This window comes from Homo sapiens, chromosome 2 (assembly GCF_000001405.40).
Source record: "Homo sapiens chromosome 2, GRCh38.p14 Primary Assembly".
Lineage (NCBI taxonomy): Eukaryota > Metazoa > Chordata > Mammalia > Primates > Hominidae > Homo > Homo sapiens.
In genome coordinates this window covers 154,948,613-154,974,362 of record NC_000002.12, presented here as the reverse complement: position 1 = coordinate 154,974,362, position 25,750 = coordinate 154,948,613, and the positions used below count along the sequence as shown (strand labels likewise).

The 25,750-nt window shown below is 36.0% G+C and overlaps 1 long non-coding RNA gene across 4 annotated transcripts in view; it reads left to right on the top strand.

The window, feature by feature from the left end:
* LOC105373696 (uncharacterized) overlaps nt 1-24,139 on the top strand; it is a 104,051-nt gene extending 79,912 nt beyond the window's left edge. Inside the window, exons 3-7 of one of the 4 annotated variants that reach the window (XR_001739742.1) lie at nt 4,694-4,919; nt 8,675-8,850; nt 9,153-9,225; nt 9,798-9,857; nt 24,106-24,139. This is a non-coding gene — a long non-coding RNA (uncharacterized LOC105373696). Of the gene's footprint in view, nt 1-4,693; nt 4,920-5,261; nt 6,577-8,674; nt 8,851-9,152; nt 9,226-9,797; nt 10,053-24,105 lie in introns of those variants that run through there. The other 3 variants (XR_007088683.1, XR_007088684.1, XR_001739743.1) reach the window with 3 other exon arrangements.
* The last annotated feature ends 1,611 nt before the right edge of the window (nt 24,140-25,750 follow it).

The following is a 25,750-nucleotide window of genomic DNA, read 5'->3' as shown; positions in this document are numbered from 1 at the left end:
AAAAACATGAGACGTTGTCAAAATAAAATTAATTAAATGTAGGTCCCTACACTCAGAGCAGCCAACTTAAGAACAGGAACCAAAGCTAAATCACTCAACACTGCTCTCTAAAGTCATAGTTCTGACAGGACACTCTTAGAGTGACCATGGTTGCTAGGGCCTGATAATCAAAGCAGTGTTTGTGATAATTCATTCACTATATGCAACCTCATATCCAGACTCTCTCTCTCAAATATCACCTGAAAACTTTACTATAATAAAAAAATGATGTCACATAAAGAGCATGACTTGTTACTGCTTAAGAAATACACTCCATCTTTCAAAAAGTAATATGCCTCCTTCTTCACACGATGTAAAAATAAAAGCAATCTTCTATATTTTGAGAAAATGTTGCCACATCAATAAAAGAGACAAATCAATATCAACAAACTGAAAAACTCCAAAGAAACAGAATTAACTTAAGAAAGAGATGGTGTTAAAATGAGTAAAATGGATGTTTCTCTGGTGATTCAAGAAAAATAAACCATATTCTGAAATTAAATGCATGCATCAAAATCAAAAAGAGCAAAACAAAACAAATACCTTCAACACATAAAATTTAAATATTTAGTTTTTATAAAAGATGTTAGATCACTACCTCACACCACACACAATTGCCAGGATGGTTAATAGAATGTCCATCAAGCTGTTTAAAAAAGTGAACTATACAAGCAATAGAAGACTTCAGGTAATGGTGTACTTATTTTTCCTTGCTGTATTTCCAGCATCTAGAAAAGTGTATGACAGAATAGGTGCTCAGTAAATATTTGTTAAAGCCTCAATTTCAATTGGCTATACTTCCCAGAATGCCTTTGTCTCACTATAAAACCAGAAAAGTAAAACCAAAGAAGCTCTGTACTTGGGGACATTCACAGTGATTGGGGGCTAACACTGGGCTGAAAACTTGCAAAAGCTGTGAAAGTTTACACACTGAACTATAAGACCATGGCATCTTATTCTGTTTCAGGAATGCCAATAGCTAAATATAAAACCTATCCTTACCACTACCATGAAGGAGATTGAACTATTCATCTCTACAAAAATTAAATGTACCCAGAGTAAAAATATATTGTTATTTGCTTGTCTCACAAGGAAGAAACTGGCTCACCACCTCAAAATCTGGTGTGAATCTGGTACTCATCCAGAGCCTCCAATCAAATTTTTGGTGTCTTCCTCTTCAAATAAACAGCCAAGGTTCACTTGACTTTTGGGAAAATAATCCATGTAAGAAATTCCAAGGATTACTAAAAAAACAAAATAAAAATAAGCAAAGACAATGTGGACAGCAAAAACAAAACAAATCTTCAAAATCTACAGTATATCTATCCACAAACTAAAACAAAGGATGCTATTAAAAAAACAAAGAACAAAAAGAAATGTAAAATATAGATAATTTTAAAAATGAAGAATAATAAAACAACTCTGAGGAATCATTTATAAAAATTTTAAATTAGATAAAGATACAGATGATTGAAGGGAAAACAGTAGTGAATTAGAGAATCAATCTGGGAAGAACAGTGTCAGAATAGTTGAGACACTATCAACCAGCCATATTGCCTTGGTTTGAAATCTAGATCCTTACCTTACTAGTTATGTGGCAGTGAGTGTCAGTTATGTTGTGTATAAATTAGGGAATACGACAGGATATTCTTCATATTATTGTAATAAGCTGAATGTTAATATTAGTAAAATCCCCAGAACAGAACCTGATATAAATACCATATCAGTTTTTATTAACAATTTAGTGTCCCTTCACACCTTTACTGGCTTTACTTATCTTTCAACAGCTTATGGCTTGTGGCATTTACTCTTCTTTTTGTCTGGAAAATTTTTTATTCACATTTTTCATAAGTACCTTTCTTAAACCATTTGTTTCTGATGAATGATGTGAGATCATTCAAATATCATCGCTACAGAGACTGCCCTATTCATCCTAAAACATAGCCCCTATCCCCTCTAATGCTTTACCTTACTTTATTTTTATTTATAGCATTTATTTCAACCTGAAATTATAAGCACATTAATGCCTTTGGTTATTGCTTATACCTACCACCGAAAGATATATTCCATGAAGCAGGAACATAGTTTATTGTTTTTATCCCTGTATGTTCAATGCCTAGAAAAGTCCCTGCCACATAGTGGGTGCTCAGTAAATATCTGTTCATCACAACACAGCAGAGTGGTTAAGAACAAAAACTTTAGAATCAACCTGCCTGTGTTTCAATTCCACTTCTATTAACAACTCTATGCCTTCAGCAATTTACTTAACTTTATTTTAGCCATACTGGGATAATAGTAGCACTTTTTTAATGTTCTGATGATTAAATACAAATAAAACACTTTGAGGTCTGTTTGGCACATATTTATAGATGTGAGCTATTATTATTAGCTAAAATGTTTTGAACGAATAGCACCATGAATGAATTTATGAAGAAATAAAGGAATGAAAAGCATAGGTGAAAGGGGACTTTATAGGTTGCCTTGCTTAATTTTTTTACAACCAACATGTTTTTCTTTTTAACCATTTTAATGCTTAGAAAACAAATTTTAACACTAATAGAAATTTAAAAATCTGTATTTTTTTCTAATAGGAAAAAAGGCACAAGGCTTACAATTATTTTTCCCACTTCTCAGTTCTCTCTGCATCAAACATATTATCTTCAACCTTGAAGTTCATGTCAAGTTACTCCCAATGAGAAAGACAGCAATGCAAACATACCAGTTATTCTGTTACTCTCTTTTAACCCCAAAACCCCATAATCCAAGGTTTGTCCTTCTGTGCCCTGCTTGTAATTAGGGAGGCTGACCCCTGTGGACTGCATCTCCTTTGCTTTTTCACTTCCAAGCTTCCCTTTGGAGTCAACCAATAAGAGACACTGATAGGGGATCAGAGAAAAGGAGAACAGAAAGCATGGTGTTTTACTAGTTGGCCTCTATCTCCCCGAGCTCTGTGCCCAGTACCAACAGTGCCAGTGGCTACATCCCTCTATGGCCACAGCTACTGTAGGACTGCCACTCTCCTATAGATCCAAATTTTACTTCCCTTGCTCCTTTAGGCACAGGGAAGGTAAATGGCTCCCTGCTATTGCTAATCCCTAGGCGTCTCATCATCCCTGGTTGGTGTTTGTAAATCTGCCACCAATTCTGTAAATAATCCCTTCATTAAGTAAGTTATTTCCAAAGTCTTTTAAATACTCCGTCGATTTCTTGACCAACAGTCAGAAAATTATGTTTCATAAGATGGCTGTAGCATGTGACAAATGCAAAAGTTATGCTTTATTCACCATCAGCCTTCATGGCACAAAGGTAATAACTCTTTATGGAAGAAGGTGATTCTGTTTCTGTTTGTCATCTATGGGCATCTACTAGTTTTGGATTTCTTCCTCTTTCAGCTCCTGAAGATTTTTATACTAAGATATTGTAAGAGGGGTGGAAGTTGGGGAAGGCTTTGAGCCATTTGACAAATGAAGTCTTTCCTTGATCAAGTCCACACAATGTTCTGCTAAAGATTCCTGAAGAGAAATTAGGTTTTGCTAAATTCTCAGGAGTCATATTTTTAGAATTTACATGACAATTTGGGATTGAAAATCATAGGGGAAAAATAATTTGGCATAAACATGTTTGAAAATTTTCTATCTAGACAAATTATGTTAGGTCTTCTGGGTATACATTTCTAAGATGAAAATAACCACTAAAACCTAACTAACTTCAGCTAAGAGGACAGATGAGGACATTTTATGTTGGTTTAAACTAGTCCTGTTCCTCCTAGTCACCATAGGCATTGTCTTTCCTGAATATTTGAATTTTTGAGGAAAAAAGTGGCTCTAAGGAGGAATACCTAGAGAAGAATAAAACCTTTGTCTGTGACAGTGAATATATATATAGATACATACATATATATACATATATATATATATATATATATATATTTTTTTTTTTTTTTTTTTTTTTTTTCTGAGACAAAATCTCGTTCTGTCACCCAGGCTGGAGTACAGTGATGCAATCTCAGCTCAACAGTGAATATATTCTAAGTAAATACATATTTATGTATTTTATGACATCAATGTTACATGATTTTGTAGAAAAACATCTTTAGGAACAAAGAAATGAATAAAAGTGTTCATCTGTTTAATGATTGCTTATATTATATTTGGTTAAGTACTATATATTTAAGAATATTCAAGTTCCTCTAATGATGCCTTCATAAAAATTTTAGATTATTTTGGGCATATGTCCTAAATTTAATCAATCAGTAAAACTAGATTAATGTATTTCTTAAATGTAGGAAAAAGGAAAATATATAATTTTATTTATGAAGGTTTTTATTACTTCCTTTAAAAATGCTATTTACCATGTTTCTATTTTTTTCAGTTTTCTAACCTTAGTTTTAATGAAATAACAATAAAAATTTTGCCTTTTCCACATACAGCTTTCAACTTGAGTTTTGTTTTTTTCTGAACCAGGAAAAAAGACAGCTCTGTGATTTTATAAGTGGAACATTGAAACCACTCTTTCTGAGGCTTCAAAGGGGCTATTCCTTAGAACTTACCCTTCTTTGTTGTTCTTCTTGTCAGTTGCATGCTGCCCTGTAGGAGTGAACATTAAGCCACATTAAAAACTTTTTAGCAGGTTTGTTTATTTGTTTCTAACACAGAAAGCCTGAAGTACATGGAGGAAAGAAGAAATCCATTTGAATGGAAGAAGCATTCCAAGTGACAGAATGTATCAGAACATTTAAAGACGAAAGAAGGACATCATTTTGAATCATGAGGCCTACTGGAAAAATAAACAACAAAAAACAAGCAAGCAAAATACAGTGGAGAGAGCTGATAGAGCAGTAGAAAGTCTCCTGGAATATCCCCACAGGCTGCTGGTGTCTGGTAGGGAGGAGAGAGTGAGGGAGCCACTTTGGACATCCGAATCACTTTTAGCATACTTTACTTTTCCTAGGTGCAAAAGCAGAGAGGCAAGGAGACTATCAGTCTTACAATGTTGATGGTTAATAGGAGCCTGGTGATGGTAGTCTGACCAGGGGAGAGAATTAGAGTGGTGTCCCCATCACCCACTTGTTTGTTGGCACCTTGTAGTCCTACACTTGTGAACTTCTAGTTCCTATGGCTGAAGGAAAAACTGATCTAACAAAGAGGAGTAATGCTTTAAGTCTTATCAGAAATATAAGCCCTAGCGTGAAGGAGTGTTTCTAGTGCCTTCTTGAAAAAAAGTTTTTTTTTTTTTTTGAGACAGAGTCTCTCTCTGTCACCCAGGCTGGAGTACAGTGGCGCTATCTCAGCTAACTGCACCCTCCACCTCCCCAGTTCAAGCGACTCTCTTGCCTCAGCCTCCTAAGTAGCTGGGACTACAGGCACCCGCCACCACGCCTGGCGAATTTTTGTATTTTTAGTAGAGACAGGGTTTCACCATATTGGCCAGGCTGGTCTCTAACTCCTGACCTTGTGATCTGCCCACTTTGGCCTCCCAAAGTGCTGGAATTACCGATGTGAGCCACTGCGCCTGACCAAAAAAAAAAAAAAAAAAAAAAAAATGCTTTTAATAGACTGAGGATGGAGAAAATAAGAGCAAAGTACAATAATGAGTGTCTGGAGAGGTTGGAGTAGGAGACCAGGCAGAGTAGCTTGGGAAAAAGGCAGGGAAAGGTGCAAATTGGATGCCAAGATAAGCTTGGCTTATTTCTAATTTTGCCTAAAGTGACATAATATAACTATGTCCCCAAGCACATGTAACATCTGATCACATTGAGATGAGAAATTGCCTGAGAAATACAGATGGAATTTATGCAGTAAGCAAAGTTGGAAAAGCATTTATATCATTCTACAGTTGCTTAGTCTCTCTAGCCTAGGAAACCATGGGATACTTAATTCAGCCATCTCTATCTAGGCCCTGTTATTAATTGTGTATTGCATGGTGTGCTTGCAGGATCACAACTGCATCACAAAAATAATCTGACCCTGGCTGTGAGATTTGGAGATGACAACACAATTGTAAATTTATAAAATTTACTGCACCTACTCAGGGGGACATAAGGCAACTGTGTTAATTCATTTCCCATTCCAGAGGAAAGGAAGGACTATGAAAAATATCATCCAAATCAATAGAACACAGTGATTAGGCTATCTATTGTTTCAATAGTTTCATCAATTGCTGACTGAATCTTCTAGTCTGCAGTTTAAAATCTAGTTAGTACTTTGTCCAATATGCTATAATACATACTAGCAGTCTGTAGAGGGTCTCTATAATGAATTACTGCTACATTCACTGTCCCACCAATTTTCTAATAATTCTGTCAAATCACCTTCTGGATTCCAATTTTCTATTTTTTTTCAATGAGTTACATGACTATAATCCAACATTTTTGTAATTTCAACAAAAAACATTTGAACATGCAGTAAATCACTGGAGGTTACCAGGGAAGAAAGGACCTGCAGCCTTGAACAAAGACGGATTTAGAAATATGTTCAGCAATACCAGTGAATAGTACAGGAGAATCTAGGATAAAGGAAACAGACTGGAAAATAAACCGTAAGTTTAAAGTCCTAGGATCCGTTCTGAATTCTCAAGTGTGAGCCTCAGTTTCCTCCTACAATAAGAATTATACACAAAATAAAATATAAACTCTGGCAACCACCTCACATCTTAATCATATTTTCTTCCTATACACTATTTTGGTGTTGGGAACCAACATTCATCCAGTTGCCCAACCTTCAAATATAAAAAGCCTTTTTAATTCCTTTTTCTTTAATTCTCATATCCATTCAGACATCAAGTATTGTCAATTCTGACTGCTGCATATCTCTAGAATTCAGCTGCTTTCGTATTTTCATTGTTGCTTCTTTAGTTCGTGCCCACTTCATCTCTTACCTGGATTATTATAATAGCTTTCTGATTGGACCTCCTCAAAGTTTCATTCTATCCTTGTATAACCTCCACAGTGCTCACTAGAGTATTCATTCTGAAAAAGAAGTTGTCTTAGTCCATGTGGGCTGTTATAATAAAATACCATAAGCAGATAGCCTATAAACAACAAAGTTTATTTCTCACAATTCTAGAGGCTGGGAAGTTCAAGATCAAGGTGCTGATAGATTAGGTATCTGGTGAGGGCTGGCTTCCTCACAGACAGTTTTCCCACTGAGTCCTTATAGGGCAGAAGAGGTAAAGAGTTTCTTTTTGTCTTCTTTTATAAGGGTTTGAATTCCACTGGAGGGCTTTGCTCTCATGACCTAATTACTTGCTCAAGCCTCCACCTCCTAATGCAATGACACCAGGAGTGAGAATTTCAACTTATGAACTTGGGGGAAACATAAACATTTGGACCACGACAAAAGTTAATTTTTATAATCTTCTATTTTAAATGAGCCACAAAGACAAAATTCTACAATATAGGAAAAAACAAAACCAAACAACAACAACAAAAGACAACCTAGTCCCTTCAGGATCTGACCTGTACCTGTCTCCTGTAAACATCCTTACCTACTACCATTGACATCTTAATGTCCCACTATCCACTGAATGAGTCATGTTCTTTCTTGCTGGTCCTTCTGCCTGGAATACTTTTCTTCCTCTTGCCCATTTAGCAAGCGCTTAATCAATCTTTAAGATTCATTCCAAGTATCACTTCTTCATCCAAGTTGTCTCCTGAACCCTTTTCCCAATCAGGGAAAAGGAAGTCCACCTCTTCATCTCCCAAGAATCATGGACATGATTCTATTACATAGTTCTTATGTGTTACTTAAATTATTCACTTGTAAATATCTCTCCATCAGACTCTGGCTACCTAAACTTAAGGACCACATATTACTCTTCTTGAAATTCTTGGGCTTTAATACAGTGCTTCATGCATAGTGAGGATGATATAACTATTTGCTGAAAGTAATATATGAGCTCTATACAAACATACAGTGGTTTTTTTAGCTGCTGTGGCTTTTTAAGCTAGGTTCACATTCTCTTAATTACACGTGTTATTTCAATTGCATTTTAGATATCCTATATGAATTTCTAAATTTTAATTACTTATTGTTGCAAGATTAATAGGGATGGTAGTATCTTAAGGTGAACTGTTTTTTACACAAACCCCACTTTAGAAACAGATTCCTTTTGGCTCTCGGAAGGTGCTTGTTGAGGTACCTAATGGAGCAGTGGTAATAATTAACATTTCCAATCATCCTAAATTAGAACCAACTCAAAAGAGAGAAAGTGAACTTTAAAAAGATGTTTTCCAGAGAATCATCTGGTAAGCCATTTCTGGAAAATAATCTGTGCTAATGAGGAAAAAAACAAGTGAAGTAAAAGTGGGATGTGGGCTTTGCTATTTTCGGCTCTTTGTTTTGCTTTCAACAAGGTGTCTCTAAACCTTGCTGTGAATTTTGTACATTCTGTCTGAGTCTCATAATCTGAAAAGTGGAAATGAAATCATGCTAAGCCATGGCACAGGGCATCAATGGGAGGAGTAACCTACATCATTAATTTAATGGCAATTATCTCCGGAGATGGTTCTGTGAAAAACAAAAAAAAATACATTAATTTGTTTTACTATTTTGGATACGGCTCCAAAATAAACACTGCACACTGAATAAGCAAAAATTAAAAAAAATTATTGCAATTAGCCATTATGTGTTTTTAGATCCTAGAAAGAAAAGTTCAGAGAATGAGAACCCCTGGACTGTCTCAAAAAAAAGAAAAAAGAAAAAAACAGAAACGCGACATGCTCTAAAAAGGAATATTTAACCTGGATTAATTCATAAAATAATAGGAGAAAATTTTTGCAGCCAGAATACTATGAATTTGAGTTGGTTGAAGGTAAGAAAACACAAGCCTGTCAGTATCTCCCCATTTCTCCCTCCCTTTAGAGTTCACAAATAATTAAATCAATAAATGGTTATTAAACCTGCTTTAATATTTCATTTTGTATAGTTTTTGCTTTACTGCACATATTTCCTGTAAATAAACAAAAAGCTGTTAGACTCCATTCTTCTCTCCTGACATGAGATATCTAAAGAAAGGATAAGTATCCTTTTGTCATTTCATTTTGGAATGCAACTGTGCTGTGCATGGTACAATCACAGAACATATTAATGCATAGCTAATTCCTTTGTTTTCAGAACAACCTCATCTTTTAAAGCAGAGAAGTTTTCTCAGATATGTTTTCCAGAATGCCAAATCGTAAGTAAATTGGTGAGTTTCTTCAGCATTATGTACCCAAAATGCAAGACGCTTTAGATAAAGCTTTCTCTGGTGAAGGGATCAGTTAGGATATAACTATTACAATTTATAGATCTGGGATATTGGTGGATAACTAAGCTTCCCAATAGATCACTCAAAATTAAATTGGTTTTAGCTATCCTTATCTTCCCTCGTGAACAAAAGCACAGGTAGTTGCTTTACACAGGACGTGTAAGTATGTGTGCACCAGACACCTTTTTTCTGCCATTTACACTCCATTCTCAGAGAATAAAAGATTTTATCAACCAAAAAATAAAACTGTAACTCTATTATTGGCCGTAAAACCATTGGCTCTGCACCCAGCATAGAGTATTTCTGTGCCCATAACTACTTGGACTATCTTAACATAACCTTTTGTTAAATATGTTAGAAATTTTCTTTCTTAGTCATTTGTAACAGCCAGCATAGCATACCATCATATATACATACACATATAATCAGTACCTTGCAGATTACAGTATAACTGATCAAATAGTATTGTAAGTTATATGTTATATATTATTCCCAATTTACATTTTTTTCAGATGAGAAAACTGTGGCTCAAAAGTTATGTTACTTGTTAGACATCACCAGACATTTAAGTGGTAAGCACAAGATGTGAACACAACTCTTCTCTATTAAACCTATTAGACCTGCACAGCCCAATATGACAGCCACTAACCACAAGTGGCTGCACACACTTGATATATGACTAGTTTGAAACAAGAAGTGTTTTAAGTGAAAAATAGAGATGAGATTTTGAAAACTTGAGATGAATTAAAGGATGTAAACTATCTCAATAATTTGTATATTGTTTGCATATTGAAATGATAATATTTTGGATGTACTAGGTAAAAGAAAATAATTATTAAAATTTTTGTCTCCTGCTTCTTTTTATTTTTTATAATGTGGCCACTGGAAAATTTGAAATTTTATATGTGGCTTGCATTTTTGTCTCTTATTATATTTGTATTGGACAGCATCGTATTATACCATACTGTCTAAATCTTCACAGGAAAATTTCAGTTGATGACCTCCTGGCTTTGAAGAAGCAGGAAAAATGCTTTTTAAACATGAATTTTCCACCTCAAACTTACAGACACACAGCTTATTTACATGTGTCAATAATGCTGATCACACTAGGAGAATTATTTCTCTTAAGCATGAGCTTCCTAGTGTCAATGTGGAGAAACATCACATTCTGTGCTTTGTATATTTCTTTTTTCTCTAAAATGACTCCACTGTGCTATGCTATCAAGTATCATCTGTTCTTGTGAGGATTATTTGTGCTGCAAAACTCTCAACACCTGGATGCTCTGCATGACTGGCCAGCTCTCAGGATAATCAGCAGTTATGGAATTACATTCTTATACTGCAGGAAGGGCACAGTCATTTAGCAGCTGTTCTCACACTTTCATCTACTTAAGATTGAGGAGGAGAGCTTTTAAAACTATAAATTTCCAGAATTCCACTTTCATGGAATTTGATTCAGGAAGTTTGGGAAGTAGCCAGGAATGTTCATTTTGTTAGACTTCCTGAGTGATTCTGAGGTATGTAGCCTATAGACGAACCTTTGAGAAATATTTCCTTAGAGGAAGGGCTGTGTGTGCATTTCGAAGCAGAGGAAATAAATGTCTGAGCAAATCATGTCGATGTCAGTCATCAGAATCCATCTTATTTTTATGAATTTGTTTATATTATCTGTATTTTGTATAGCCTCAACATGAATTAACATTATGTCAAAAAATTGAAACTAATCAGAGATGGAATTATTATAGATAGATACATATATTTTAAAGCACTGAGTTTAAAAAGGGCAAGTCTTTCTCAATTTCTAAAATTTCAATTTCATCATTTATAAAATGAAGTAGAATCGTATCTTCACTACAATGTCACATGATATATTTTAAAGTGCTATAAATATTGTTATTAATTATTTAAACTTTATCTACCAACAATACTTCAACTAGATGAATATCTGGTAAGACGCAGTATTTAGCCTTCACTGTAGCTTGAAAATAAAATACAGCCTGAGTTCTGAAACTAACTTTTGCATTTTAGGGTAAATTATTGAACTTAGTTATTTGTTAAGGAATGCAAAAAAATTACTACATTGGCAAAGATGTGGTATAAGTATGATATGATGCATGTGGCTGATTTTTGATAATAAAAGATCAGCACATATAATAGAAAAAAATTTATTGCCTGTATGTTAATAAAATCTACCAATTTTTCTACCTTCCCCATTTTATCTATCCTATCATAGAACACCAGAGAATACTAAAGTAAACGTACTACACAATTCTTTCCCAAGAATTCATTTCAATAGAATTGAGTGACCATAATGTGTAACACATCTTACTAAGTACATTATTATGAGAAAGCAAAAATCATGGTGTATGCCTTGCAGCATAAAGCCTGTCAAATACAAGGCCATGGATAGAATCAGCATATATTAAACAATTGTTGAATCAGTAATAAATAAGTTAATAAATAAGCAAATGAACAAATGCAATGTAGCAAATGCCTCTGTCAAAATTCAGAAGTAGACACATCCTTTAGCTATGCACTCTTGTCAATATATGTGAAATATTCCTTCTCAGGTGTCAATAGCCTCTCTCTGCATTGCAGGGGGAAGAATTCTGGTCACTACACCTTGTGTGCACATATCAAAATGTCAATGTTCCCCATAAATATAAACAAATATATGAAAAAGTGGAACAAAAATAACAATTCTGAATACGAGGTTTAATATCATAAGTACAGCTACATGTAAATGTCATAGAACAAACTGAAGATTTTTATAAATTCCCAAAGTAACTCCACTTGCTAACTAGGTGAGTAAGGCTAAGAAATTAGGAGAATGCCCTTAAAGTTTTAAGACCACAGTAGGAAAGAGCTGTGGACCACACAAAATGTAAAATGATGGAATTCAAGTCTTTCGGCAGGTAGTTTTTCACTAGATCAGAGGTGTGACAACACTCAGTGCTTAAATTCACAAATTAGCGTTAATTAATAGATATGCCCAAACCATCAAAGTCCCAGTCCCATCTAGACATAAGGCTGATAATATCAGGGCATAACAAATAGGAAAGCTAAGCAAAGGGGAGAGTCCAGCATTTGTTAAGGACTATCTATATACTGGGCCCTTCTGTTTATCTTAATTAATTCTGACACCAACACTGACAGCTAGGCATTATTCTAATTTTGCACCAAAGAAAATTAAGTTCCTTTCCTTTCAACTATGAAACAAAGCCATATGGTAAGTAAATGGTGGAGCCAAAATGTCAATTCTAAGTCTTCAATTTCCTGGGCTCTTTCTTCTCACTCTGCTACCCTTCAAGGAAGAATATTGCTTCACGGCCGTCTGAATAATTTCTGGGATGAGTGAACTGAGTATTAACTTCCATCCTACCCAGGTAGCCTATAACCCTTCTAATGTTATATACCATACAGAAAGAAGAGACAATTATGAATATGAAAATGTCCTAATGTTCAATCCAAAGAAACTCTGAATTCCTAAGCAACATAGAAGGTGGCAGTAGAAGCAGGATGAGTGAAATCTGTAAAGGCTTTGACTTATACAGACATAGCTTCAGTCTATCTGCAGAGCCACCTACCTACCACGAATCCCTATGCTGATCACATTCATTTCACCACAACAAATTAAAGAACTGAGAGGGATATAAATAATTAGCACTGTGGCCAATTCCAGTAGGGTTTTCTGTCTAGTTAAATGTATGTTTTCATTTCACAGCAATTTTGAAACTGAAAACAATCACAGAACTAAAGAGAACACTTATTTGAGTGCCTCTAAACTGTTCACATGCTGTGTTACTTTTATGCAGTTACTCCTGATCTTTAGACAAGGAACCAACTTTACTAAAATGAAAGACAGCTTTGGAAAAGAATATATGCATTTATGTTAAAGAGAGATATGTTTTATGTTAAGAAGAGATATGAAACATTTATGTTTCAGAGCAACGGCTCTGAAAGGGGAAGCTCTAAGCTAGTTCTGATTTGAGCAGGTGAGAAAAGGTACAAAACTGATAGTTGCTGACAGAATTCCAGGAAATCTGGGAAGTCATATCTTTGGGAAGTACAGGTAGACTTTGTTTCATTGAGCTTTGCTTTGTTGATTTTCACTGATACGGTGTTTTCTACAGATTGACATTTTGTGGCAGCCCTGCTTCAAGCAAATCTATTCACACCATTTTTCCAATAGCATGTGCTCATTTTGTGTCTCTGTGTTACATTTTGGTAACTCTCACAATATTTCAAACTTTTTCATTATGATTATTATTATTGGGACAGAGTCTCACTCTCCCTCCCAGGCTGGAGTCCAGTGGTGCTATCTCGGCTCACTGCAACCTCTCTTCCTGGGTTCAAGCAATTCTCCCACTTCAGCCTACCGAGTAGCTGGGGCTACAGGTGCATGCCACCACACCCAGTTAACTTTTTTATTTTTAGTAGTGATGGGGTTTCACCATGTTGGCCAGGCTGATCTTGAACTGTTGACCTCAAGTGATCCATATGCCTCAGCCTCCCAAAGTATTGGGATTACAGGTGTGAGCCAACGTGCCTGGACTTTGTTGATATTAGTATACCTGTTATGGTCATCTGTGATTAGTAATCTTTAATGTTCCTGTAGTAATTGTTTTGGGGCATCAAGAACCCCACCCACGTAGGACAGCTAACTTGATTGATAAATGTTGTATGTGTTCTGATTGCTCCACCGTCTGGCTATTCCCTCATCTGTCTCCCTGTCCTCCAGCTTCCCTATTTTCTGAGACATAGTAATTTTGAAATTAAGCCAATTAATAAACCTACAATGGCCTCCAAGTGTTCAAATGAAAGGAAGAGTCTCTCATCTCTCACTTTAAACCAAAAGATAGAAAAGATTAGGCTTAGTGAGGAAGGCGTGTCAAAAGCCAAGATAGGCTGAAAGTTAGGCCTATTGCAGTATACAGTTAGCCAAGTTGTGAATGCAGAAGAAACGTTATTGAAGGAAATTAAAATTGCTACTCCAGGGAACACAAAAAATTATAAAAAAGCAAAACAGGCTTGTGTTAGGAGTCTGGATAGATCAAATCGGCTATAACATTCTCTTAAGTCAAAACCTATTTAAAACAAGGACCTAACTCTCTTCAGTTCTGTGAAGGCCGAGAGGGGTGAGGAGGCTGCAGAAGAAAATATTGAAGCCAACGGATGTTGATTCATTAGTTTCATTAGGTTTAAGGAAAGAAGCTTTCACCATAACATGAAAATTCAAGGTGAAGCCACAAGTTATCTAGAAGATCAAGCTAAAATAATTGAAGGTTGCTACACTAAACAGCATATTTTCAATATAGGCAAAGCAATGTTATATTGGAGAAAGATGCCATCTAAAACTTTCATAGCTAGAAAGAGAAATCTATGCCTGGCTTTGCAGTTTCAAAGGACACTGGCTTTTGTTAGGGGCCACTGGTGACTTTAATCTCCTTTACTATTTGGATCTCATTCACCTTTTGGACTTTAAATTCATTTACCATGTGGAGCTCATTCAGCATTCTGAAAATCATAGGGTCCTTAAGAATTGTGCTGAATCTACTCTCCTTGTGCTCTATAAATGGAACAACGAAGCATGGATCACAGCACATCTGTTTACAGCATAACAGTAAATCTGTTTACAGCACTATTTAATAAATATTTTAAGCCCAATATTAAGACCTACTGCTAAGGAAAAAAAATTCCTCTCAAAATATTACAGCTCATTGCCAATGCATCTGATTACTCAAGAGCTCTGATGGAAATGTACAAAGAAATTAATGTTTATTTTATGCCTACAAACGTAACCATTCTGCAGCCCATGGATCAATGAACAATTTCAACTTTTGAGTATTGTTATTTAAGAAATACATTTTAGCCAGGTGCGGTGGCTCAGGCCTATAATCCCAGCACTTTGGGAGGCCAAGGCTAGCAGATCACCTGAGGCCAGGAGTTCAAGACCAGCCTGGCCAACATGGTGAAACTCTATCTCTACTAAAAATATAAAAACCAGCAGGATGTGGTGGCAGACACCTGTAATCCCAACTACTTGGGAGGCTGAGACAGGAGAATCACTTGAACCTGGGAGGCAGAGGGGAGCTGAGACGGTGTCATTGCACTCCAGCCTGGGCAACAAGAGCAAAACTCCATCTAAAGAAAAAAAAAAAAAGGAAAGAAATTCATTTTATAAGGCTATAGCTGCCATATATTGTGATTTCTCCAATGGATCTGGGCAAATAAATTGAAAACTTCCTGGAAAATATTCACCATTATAGATGTCATTACAAATGTAATTCATGGGAGGTCCAAATATCAACATATACAGGAGACTGGAAGAAGCTGATTCCAACACTCATGAATAACTTTGAGGGGTTTGAGACTTCAGTAGACGAAGTAACTGCAGATATGATAGAAACTGCAAGAGAAATAGAAGTGGAGCCTGAAGATGTGACTGAATTGCTGCAATCTCATGATAAAATTTGTACAGATGAGGAATTGCTTCTTATGGATGAACAAATAAAGTGGTTTCTTGAAAGTAGTCCTGCTGTCACATATAGGCTCAAAATAAAAGGATGGAGGAAGATCTACCAAGCAAATGGAAAACAAAAAAAGGCAGGGGTTGCAATCCTAGTCTCTGATAAAACAGACTTTAAACCAACAAAGATCAAAAGAGACAAAGAAGGCCTTTACATAATGGTAAAGGGATCAATTCAACAAGAAGAGCTAACTATCCTAAATATATATGTACCCAACACAGGAGCACCCAGATTCATAAAGCAAGTCCTGAGTGACCTACAAAGAGAATTAGACTCCCACACATTAATAATGGGAGACTTTAACACCCCACTGTCAACATTAGACAGATCAACGTGACAGAAAGTCAACAAGGATACCCAGGAATTGAAGTCAGCTCTGCACCGAGTGGACCTAATAAACATCTACAGAACTCTCCACCCCAAATCAACAGAATATACATTTTTTTCAGCACCACACCACGCCTATTCCAAAATTGACTACATACTTGGAAGTAAAGCTCTCCTCAGCAAATGCAAAAGAACAAAAATTATAACAAACTATCTCTCAGACCACAGTGCAATCAAACTAGAACTCAGGATTAAGAAACTCGCTGAAAACCGCTCAACTACATGGAAACTGAACAACCTGCTCCTGAATGACTACTGGGTACATAACGAAATGAAGGCAGAAATAAAGATGTTCTTTGAAACCAACGAGAACAAAGACGCAACATACCAGAATCTCTGGGACGCATTCGAAGCAGTGTGTAGAGGGAAATTTATAGCACTAAATGCCCACAAGAGAAAGCAGGAAAGATCCAAAATTGACACCCTAACATCACAATTAAAAGAACTAGAAAAGCAAGAGCAAACACATTCAAAAGCTAGCAGAAGGCAAGAAATAACTAAAATCAGAGCAGAACTGAAGGAAATAGAGACACAAAAAACCCTTCAAAAACTTAATGAATCCAGGAGCCGGTTTTCTGAAAGGATCAACAAATAGATAGACCGCTAGCAAGACTAATGAAGAAAAAAAGAGAGAAGAATCAAATAGACGCAATAAAAAATGATAAAGCAGATATCACCACCGATCCCACAGAAATACAAACTACCATCAGAGAATACTACAAACACCTCTACACAAATAAACTAGAAAATCTAGAAGAAATGGATAAATTCCTCGACACATACACTCTCCCAAGACTAAACCAGGAAGAAGTTGAATCTCTGAATAGACCAATAACAGGCTCTGAAATTGTGGCAATAATCAATAGCTTACCAACCAAAAAGAGTCCAGGACCAGATGGATTCACAGCCGAATTCTACTAGAGGTACAAGGAGGAACTGGTACCATTCCTTCTGAGACTATTCCAATCAATAGAAAAAGAGGGAATCCTCCCTAACTCATTTTATGAGGCCAGCATCATTCTGATACCAAATCCGGGCAGAGACACAACCAAAAAAGAGAATTTTAGACCAATATCCTTGATGAACATTGATGCAAAAATCCTCAATAAAATACTGGCAAAACGAATCCAGCAGCACATCAAAAGCTTATCCAACATGATCAAGTGGGCTTCATCCCTGGGATGCAAGGCTGGTTCAATATACACAAATCAATAAATGTAATCCAGCATATAAACAGAGCCAAAGACAAAAACCACATGATTATCTCAATAGATGCAGAAAAGGCCTTTGACAAAATTCAACAACCCTTCATGCTAAAAACTCTCAATAAATTAGGTATTGATGGGACGTATTTCAAAATAATAAGAACTATCTATGACAAACCCACAGCCAATATCATTCTGAATGGGCAAAAACTGGAAGCATTCCCTTTGAAAACTGGCACAAGACAGGGATGCCCTCTCTCACCACTCCTATTCAACATAGTGTTGGAAGTTCTGGCCAGGGCAATCAGGCAGGAGAAAGAAACACAGCGTATTCAATTAGGAAAAGAATAAGTCAAATTGTCCCTGTTTGCAGATGACATGATTGTATATCTAGAAAACCCCATTGTCTCAGCCCAAAATCTCCTTAAGCTGATAAGCAACTTCAGCAAAGTCTCAGGATACAAAATCAATGTACAAAAATCACAAGCATTCTTATACACCAACAACAGACAAACAGAGAGCCAAATCATGAGTGAACTCCCATTCACAATTGCTTCAAAGAGAATAAAATACCTAGGAATCCAACTTACAAGGGATGTGAAGGACCTCTTCAAGGAGAACTACAAACCACTGCTCAAGGAAACAAAAGAGGACACAAACAAATGGAAGAACATTCCATGCTCATGGGTAGGAAGAATCAATATCGTGAAGATGGCCATACTGCCCAAGGTAATTTACAGATTCAATGCCATCCCCATCAAGCTACCAATGCCTTTCTGCACAGAATTGGAAAAAACTGCTTTAAAGTTCATATGGAACCAAAAAAGAGCCCACATCACCAAGTCAATCCTAAGCCAAAAGAACAAAGCTGGAGACATCACGGTACCTGACTTCAAACTATACTACAAGGCTACAGTAACCAAAACAGCATGGTACTGGTACCAAAACAGAGATATAGATCAATGGAATAGAACAGAGCCCTCAGAAATAACGCCACATATCTACAACTATCTGATCTTTAACAAACCTGAGAAAAACAAGCAATGGGGAAAGGATTCCCTATTTAATAAATGGTGCTGGGAAAACTGACTAGCCATATATAGAAAGCTGAAATTGGATCCCTTCCTTACACCTTATACAAAAATCAATTCAAGATGGATTAAAGACTTAAACATTAGACCTAAAACCATAAAAACCCTAGAAGAAAACCTAGGCATTACCATTCAGGACATAGGCATGGGCAAGGACTTCATGTCTAAAACACCAAAAGCAATGGCAACAAAAGACAAAATTGACAAATGGGATCTAATTAAACTAAAGAGCTTCTGCACAGCAAAAGAAACTACCATCAGAGTGAACAGGCAACCTACAAAATGGGAGAAAATTTTCACAACCTACTCATCTGACAAAGGGCTAATATCCAGAATCTACAATGAACCCAAACAAATTTACAAGAAAAAAACAACCCCATCAAAAAGTGGGCGAAGGACATGAACAGACACTTCTCAAAAGAAGACATTTATGCAGCCAAAAAACACATGAAAAAATGCTCATCATCACTGGCCATCAGAGAAATGCAAATCAAAACCACTATGAGATACCATCTCACACCAGTTAGAATGGCGATCATTAAAAAGTCAGGAAACAACAGGTGCTGGAGAGGATGTGGAGAAATAGGAACACTTTTACACTGTTGGTGGGACTGTAAACTAGTTCAACCATTGTGGAAGTCAGTGTGGCCATTCCTCAGGGATCTAGAACTAGAAATACCATTTGACCCAGCCATCCCATTACTGGGTATATACCCAAAGGACTATAAATCATGCTGCTATAAAGACACATGCACACGTGTGTTTATTGCGGCATTATTCACAATAGCAAAGACTTGGAACCAACTCAAATGTCCAACAATGATAGACTGGATTAAGAAAATGTGGCACATATACACCATGGAATACTATGCAGCCATAAAAAATGATGAGTTCATGTCCTTTGTAGGGACATGGATGAAATTGGAAATCATCATTCTCAGTAAACTATCGCAAGAACAAAAAACCAAATACTGCATATTCTCACTCATAGGTGGGAATTGAACAATGAGATCACATGGACACAGGAAGGGGAACATCACACTCTGGGGACTGTTGTGGGGTGTGGGGAGGGGGGAGGGATAGCATTGGGAGATATACCTAATGCTAGATGACGAGTTAGTGGGTGCAGCGCACCAGCATGGCACATGTATACATAGGTAACTAACCTGCACAATGTGCACGTGTACCCTAAAACTTAAAGTATAATAATAAAAGGAAAAAAAAAAAGAAAGTAGTCCTGGTGAAGATGCTGTGAACGTTGTTGAGATGAGAAGAAAATATTTATTTAAAATATTACATAAACTTAGTTGATAAAGCAGCATCCAGGTTTGAGAGGATTTAATCCACTTTCAAAAGAAATTCTACTGTGGGTAAAATGCTATGAAACAGCATCACAGACTACAGAGAAATCTTTCATGAAAGGAAGAGTTCATCTATGCAGCAAGCTTCATTGTGGTCTTATTTTAAAAATGTCCACAGCCACATTTCTACAGCCACCCCAACCTTCAGCAACCCCCAGTCTAATTGGTCAAAAGCCATCAAAGTTAAGGCAAGACTCCACAAGGAAAAAGATAAAAATGTGCTAAAGGCACAGATGATAACATTATCTTTAGCAGTAAAGTATTTTTAATGAAGGTATGGATGTTGTGTTTTTTAGACATACTGTTATTACACAGTTACCTATAGTGTAGTATAAACATAATTTATGTAACTACTGGGAAACCAAAAAATATGTGCAACTCACTTCATTGCAGTATTTTCTTTATTGCAGCGATCTGCAACCAAACCTGCAATATCTCCAAGTTATGACTGTAGACTCCACAGTGTAGTGGAGATTGAATCTCCATGGAGATGTGCCTGAAAATCTCTTACTACATGATGAGTGTAACTCTTTGAGAACAGATAGGACATGCTAGCTCGCAAAGGAAAGCCTAGTCTGACCATACCTCCCCTCTGTATAGTTGTTTGTCCCCACTCCCTTTCACTTTGAAACATGCCATGTGAATCTCTGTTCTTGTACTTGCCATAATTTAGAATCATTTATTTATGTGCTCATCTTCCTCTATTTTAGTGTGAACTCTGGAGAGCAAGAACTTTTATTATTTACTTCTCTACTATGTATTCAAAACATTGCCTTAGAAGGTTCAGAACATATTATTCTCAGCCACCAACTTGCCCCCTATACCCACATAGACAGTCCCCACTAACAATTATCCACTGTCTCCTGAGATGATTGGTTTAGGGTTCATGGTCTAGACCCTCAACCACTTACCTCATTTCACTTTGTACTTTCTTCATATCCCACAGGAAAGCTGGTTCCTGTTCTATTGTCTCTCTCTTTTGCCTGTGGTGTTACATGCTCTTCTCTTGCAAATGACACTTTATGCTGCTTTTACAACATCTTTCCATTATATTCCACTCACATTGGTACTTATTGTTGGAATCAAGTTTAGTTTTTCCTCTCAGGAGGGCTTTCAACCTGACTTCTCAGAATCTATGTATGAGTTGGCTCATAGATTTGGCATCAATGACAAGGCTTAACTTATCTGTGAAAGATAACCAGATAGAAAGGAGATACTAAAAATATACTGCTAAGTAAATATCTAAAATCCAGGAGGCCTTGCAAGGATGAAGGATAATATTAAACAAGAAAATAAATGAAGAATGACCCAATTCTGTGCATCTGACATCCACAAAGAAATAAAAAGCTTAACTTATAGCCTCAAAATAATAACAAATAATTGTGAAATATACTGGTCTTTCTACTAATTTCAGAGATAATTTTTAAAAACACACACAAGGCAAGAGAACGAAATCTATTTGTATTTTTTTTAATTTTTGAAGATTCCTATGCTCAAACACAGGGAATTATGATATGAATTAAAATATAAATTAGTTGTAATTTGCATGGGTTCACAAACCCTGATATGCAATTCCAGAGCTGTATACAACAGCATTCCCAATATGAGAGAATCAAGCTGACTTGGTTTCTAGGATGTCCCAGTGCTTGCTTTGGATTTGTTCACACACAGATTCAGATGCATTTTAATCTCCAGCTCAGCCCATATGGTCACCCCATGAGCATTCAGAATAATTCTCAGGTACATAGTCACTCAGCTCTGAAACAAAAGCGTGAGCATATCAGGCGTGTAACATTCATCATCTTCAACATAATAATTCATGAACGTTAAAGAAATACTACAAACTCTACTGAAGCCTATTAATTTCCAATTCCATTTAATAGCAGGATCAAAAGCTTATTTTTCCAGTGTAAGGGACATGCACAGTAAGAGAATAGATACTCAGAAATGCTTTCACCATCAAGCTGGGGTATGAAGGCTCCATCTGAGTAGGAGTTCAGGATCTGTTCTGTGATTTCTGTTGCTAGGCAACCACTTCCTTTGTCTGCTTTGTTCAGAACAGTTGCTTTATTTATACTTGGTTTTAATGATGCAGATCATAATGTGAAATTATAAAAGAAAATAGGAAAAAATTATATCGAAAATTGTTCCAGGGAATTTGGAATACTGTGTGAAAACTAATGAATGTTGATGCAAATAGAACTTCTGCAAAAAAAAAAAAAAAATCCAAAATCATAATCCAACAGGTCCCACCTACTTGAGACTTTTTGAGTGGGCTATCTCATAACCTAGAGTTAACCTTGTATATTAACTATGTCTGTCCAAAATAAAACTAGCACCTAGGCAATAATTAAAAAATACCAAAAACAACTGGAAGGCAATTTTCAGAAAACAATTTTTTTAGTGTTAGATGTTGAGATAATTTGGAGATTAACATGTGTTAAAAATCAAAAAGTAAACTTAGAAATGAAAAGGAAATACAGGAGGACAAGGGATGCAGGAGATAAAAGGTATATTTATAAATTCTAAATTTTGAGAAACCTTGAAATATGTGATAAAGATTCCAGAAACTCTGATGTGTACATACCATAAAATTGAACTAAACTTCTTCATTGACAAAAACCTCACTATTTTCTACCACAGGTAACTTTTTTAAAAATTATCCTCAATCTATTATTTTAAAGATGATTATTAATGGAAGAAAAACAATGGCTATGCTTTGATCATGTTGATTGTTACTTAAGTTTTGCCTGGGTTTTCCATGTCAATTCTTTTTTTCATTAGCTAGTCTTATTTGTTTCCTTGCCTGTTAATAACAGTGAACCTCTCGGGTGCCCACAAGGTCCCAATATACTAGTACTTCACAGATCTTAATTTGATCTTCAAATGACCCTAAAGAAGGCACTATTATTATCATCCCCATTATATAGATGAAAAAAATGAAGCACAGCGGTGTGAAATATGTTTCCCTGGGGCATCCAACTAGCAGGTGGCAAAACCAGGATTAAAACTCACATACTCAGCAGGACATGCTCAGTTACTAATCTATGAATTGTTTTGTTATTCCTCCCAACCCACTGCCTCAACATGATTTTGTTAATGACTGCTTTCACACTGAGTACCCTCCTTGATTTGAGTTTTCATAAAATAACCAGCTAACTCAATATTTTCTGTCTCCATCTATTTTTATTCTCAATCTTGAGCACTGTAGGTTATAAAAAGTTTGGACTGCTGCATTCTGGTTATAATAAACCCTAGGTAAAATGTGTTCTATTCATTTCGTTAATTTTCATGCCTCTCCCACTGTTGCCTATAGAGTTTTGAGATGCTAGAAGACCTGAGGTATACTTATATTGTTGCTGTAGACTGGCTTGCTTGCATACTTATGAAAGTCTTCAGGCTTTTAGTCCCTCTATTATATAGGAAGGTATTAGATAAATACCAAGAATTAAGGACCAAACACACAAGAGACTCCATATGAAGTTTGATTATCAGTATTTTTGCTTATGAAATGTGGGCTTCTGCTAATCTAAACCAAGGTCTCAGATGTTTTCTTTAATGTCCCCACAATTAAAATTCTTATTTTTTTCTTCTATTATTACATAAAAAATAGTTTTGACTAATTTTTGAAGCAATAATAAGTCTAGTGTCATAGAGATTTTGTGACCTTTATGTCTACATTAACCTCGAATTTCAGAGAAGTTTGCATTTTACCCTATATAAAGGCATTCCAGAAACAGGCAACAAAAGAGGAAGACGAGAGAGATTCTGATGCCACTGGAGTTTGTCGTTCATAGAACAAATAAGGCTGTGTTTCAAGAGAGGCCTAATTTGCTTTATTCCTTACGTGCTTGTCTTCTAATGAAATTCTCATCTCTAAGTCAATAGTTCTCCAACTTTGGGTCCCAGACCAATGGAGAACAGATCTCAAGAGTACACGTGGCCACTTGCTTCCTCATTAAACAGAAACAGAGAAGCAAGGCAAAGCAAACCAAGAAATGCTGGCCACAAAGAGAGCATACTAAACTTCTTTAAAGCTTGTAATTTTCATGTGATTATATGTAATGTTGTTTTGAGCCAAACAAAGCTCATTTCAATCCATTTACTAAATTATAATTTTTAGAATACAGACCCTTTTCTTTATCAATAATATACCTACAATTAAATTATTTATTAAAATTATGATGATTATTGCTAAAGTTGCAAGAAAATTTATTTATTTATTTTTACTTTTTTATTTCCATAGGTTTTTGGGGAACAGGTGGTATCTGGTCACATGAGTAAGTTCTTTAGTTGTGATTTGTGAGATTTTGGTTCACCTAATGCCCAAACAGTATACACTGAACCTAATTTGTATTCTTTCATCCTCTACCCCACTCCCACCCTTTCTCCCTAAACCCCAAAGTTCATTTTATCATTCTTATGCCTTTGCATCCTAATAGCTTAGCTCCTACTTATGAATGAGAACATGTGATGTTTACTTTGCCGTTTCAGAGTTACTTCACGTAGAATAGTAGTCTCCAGTTCCAACCAGGTTGCTGCAAATACCATTAGTTCCTACCTTTTTATGGCTGAGTACTATTCCTTCATATGTATATTTAAACATATATCTATATATATATCGCAATTTCTTTATGCACTCATTGATTGATGGGCATTTGGGCTGGTTCCGTATTTTTGCAATCGCGAATTGTGCTCCTATCAACGTGTGTACAAGTATCTCTTTTGTATAATAGCGTCTTTTCCTCTGGGTAGTTACTCAGTAGTAGGATTGCTGCATCAAATGGTAGTTCTACTTTTAGTTCTTTAAGGGATCTCCACACTATTTTCCACAGTGGTTTTGCTAGTTTACATTCCTACCAGCAGTGTAGAAGTGTTCATTTTTCACCACATCCATGCCAACATCTATTTTTTTTTATCTTTTTTTTATAGCTATCTTGCAGGCATAAAGTTTACTCCTGCAAGATAGCTAAAATCAAAAAATCAAAAAATAATTGTTCTTTTAGACTTTCCTCTGGGATAATGTGCTTGGACAACCCTGAGTGTTTTATATAAGGTAATCTTTTTAATAGTTTTGATAGTCCCTCAAAAATAACATAAATATTATTAATATTAATTCTTACACAATGAAATATTTCTTGAAATAAATTGTATATGTTTAAATATAAAGTAAAATATGTTATGTTTTAAATATAAAATACATAAATAAAATAGATTATAGTAAATATACTATAATGTAGGATCTGTAGTAGAAGGGACCTTGTGGGCCGGGCGCAGTGGCTCACGCCTGTAATCCCAGCACTTTGGGAGGCCGAGGCAGGTGGATCACGAGGTCAGGAGATGGAGACCATCCTGGCTAACACGGTAAAACCCCGTCTCTACTAAAAATACAAAAAAATTAGCCGGGGGTGGTGGCGGGCACCTTAGTCCCAGCTACTTGGGAGGCTGAAGCAGGAGAATGACTGAACCCGGGAGGCGGAGTTTGCAGTGAGCTAAGATCGTGCCACTGCACTCCAGCCTGGGCAACAGAGTGAGACTCTGTCTCAAAAATAAATAAATAAATAAAAAGGACCTTGTGTGAGTTGAGTCTGGGACACAAAAATGAGCTAACAATTCATTAGCTCATGCATTTTTTAGGTTACTATGGTACAGAAAACACGTAAGGCTCAATTAAAGAATAGAAAGGTATAGTATAAAGTCTACCATCAGATATAATAAAGTGTCATTGTTTACTGACAAGGAGAGGCATAGGTAAATTAGACGGCATGCAGGAAAAGAGGAATATGATTTGAAACTTTTTATTTCTGTAAAGCATTTTGGTAGATGTTCTCTTCTAGCATCACATCATAAACCTAAATGAGTACAAGGGCCACAGTGATGTCAAAAATATT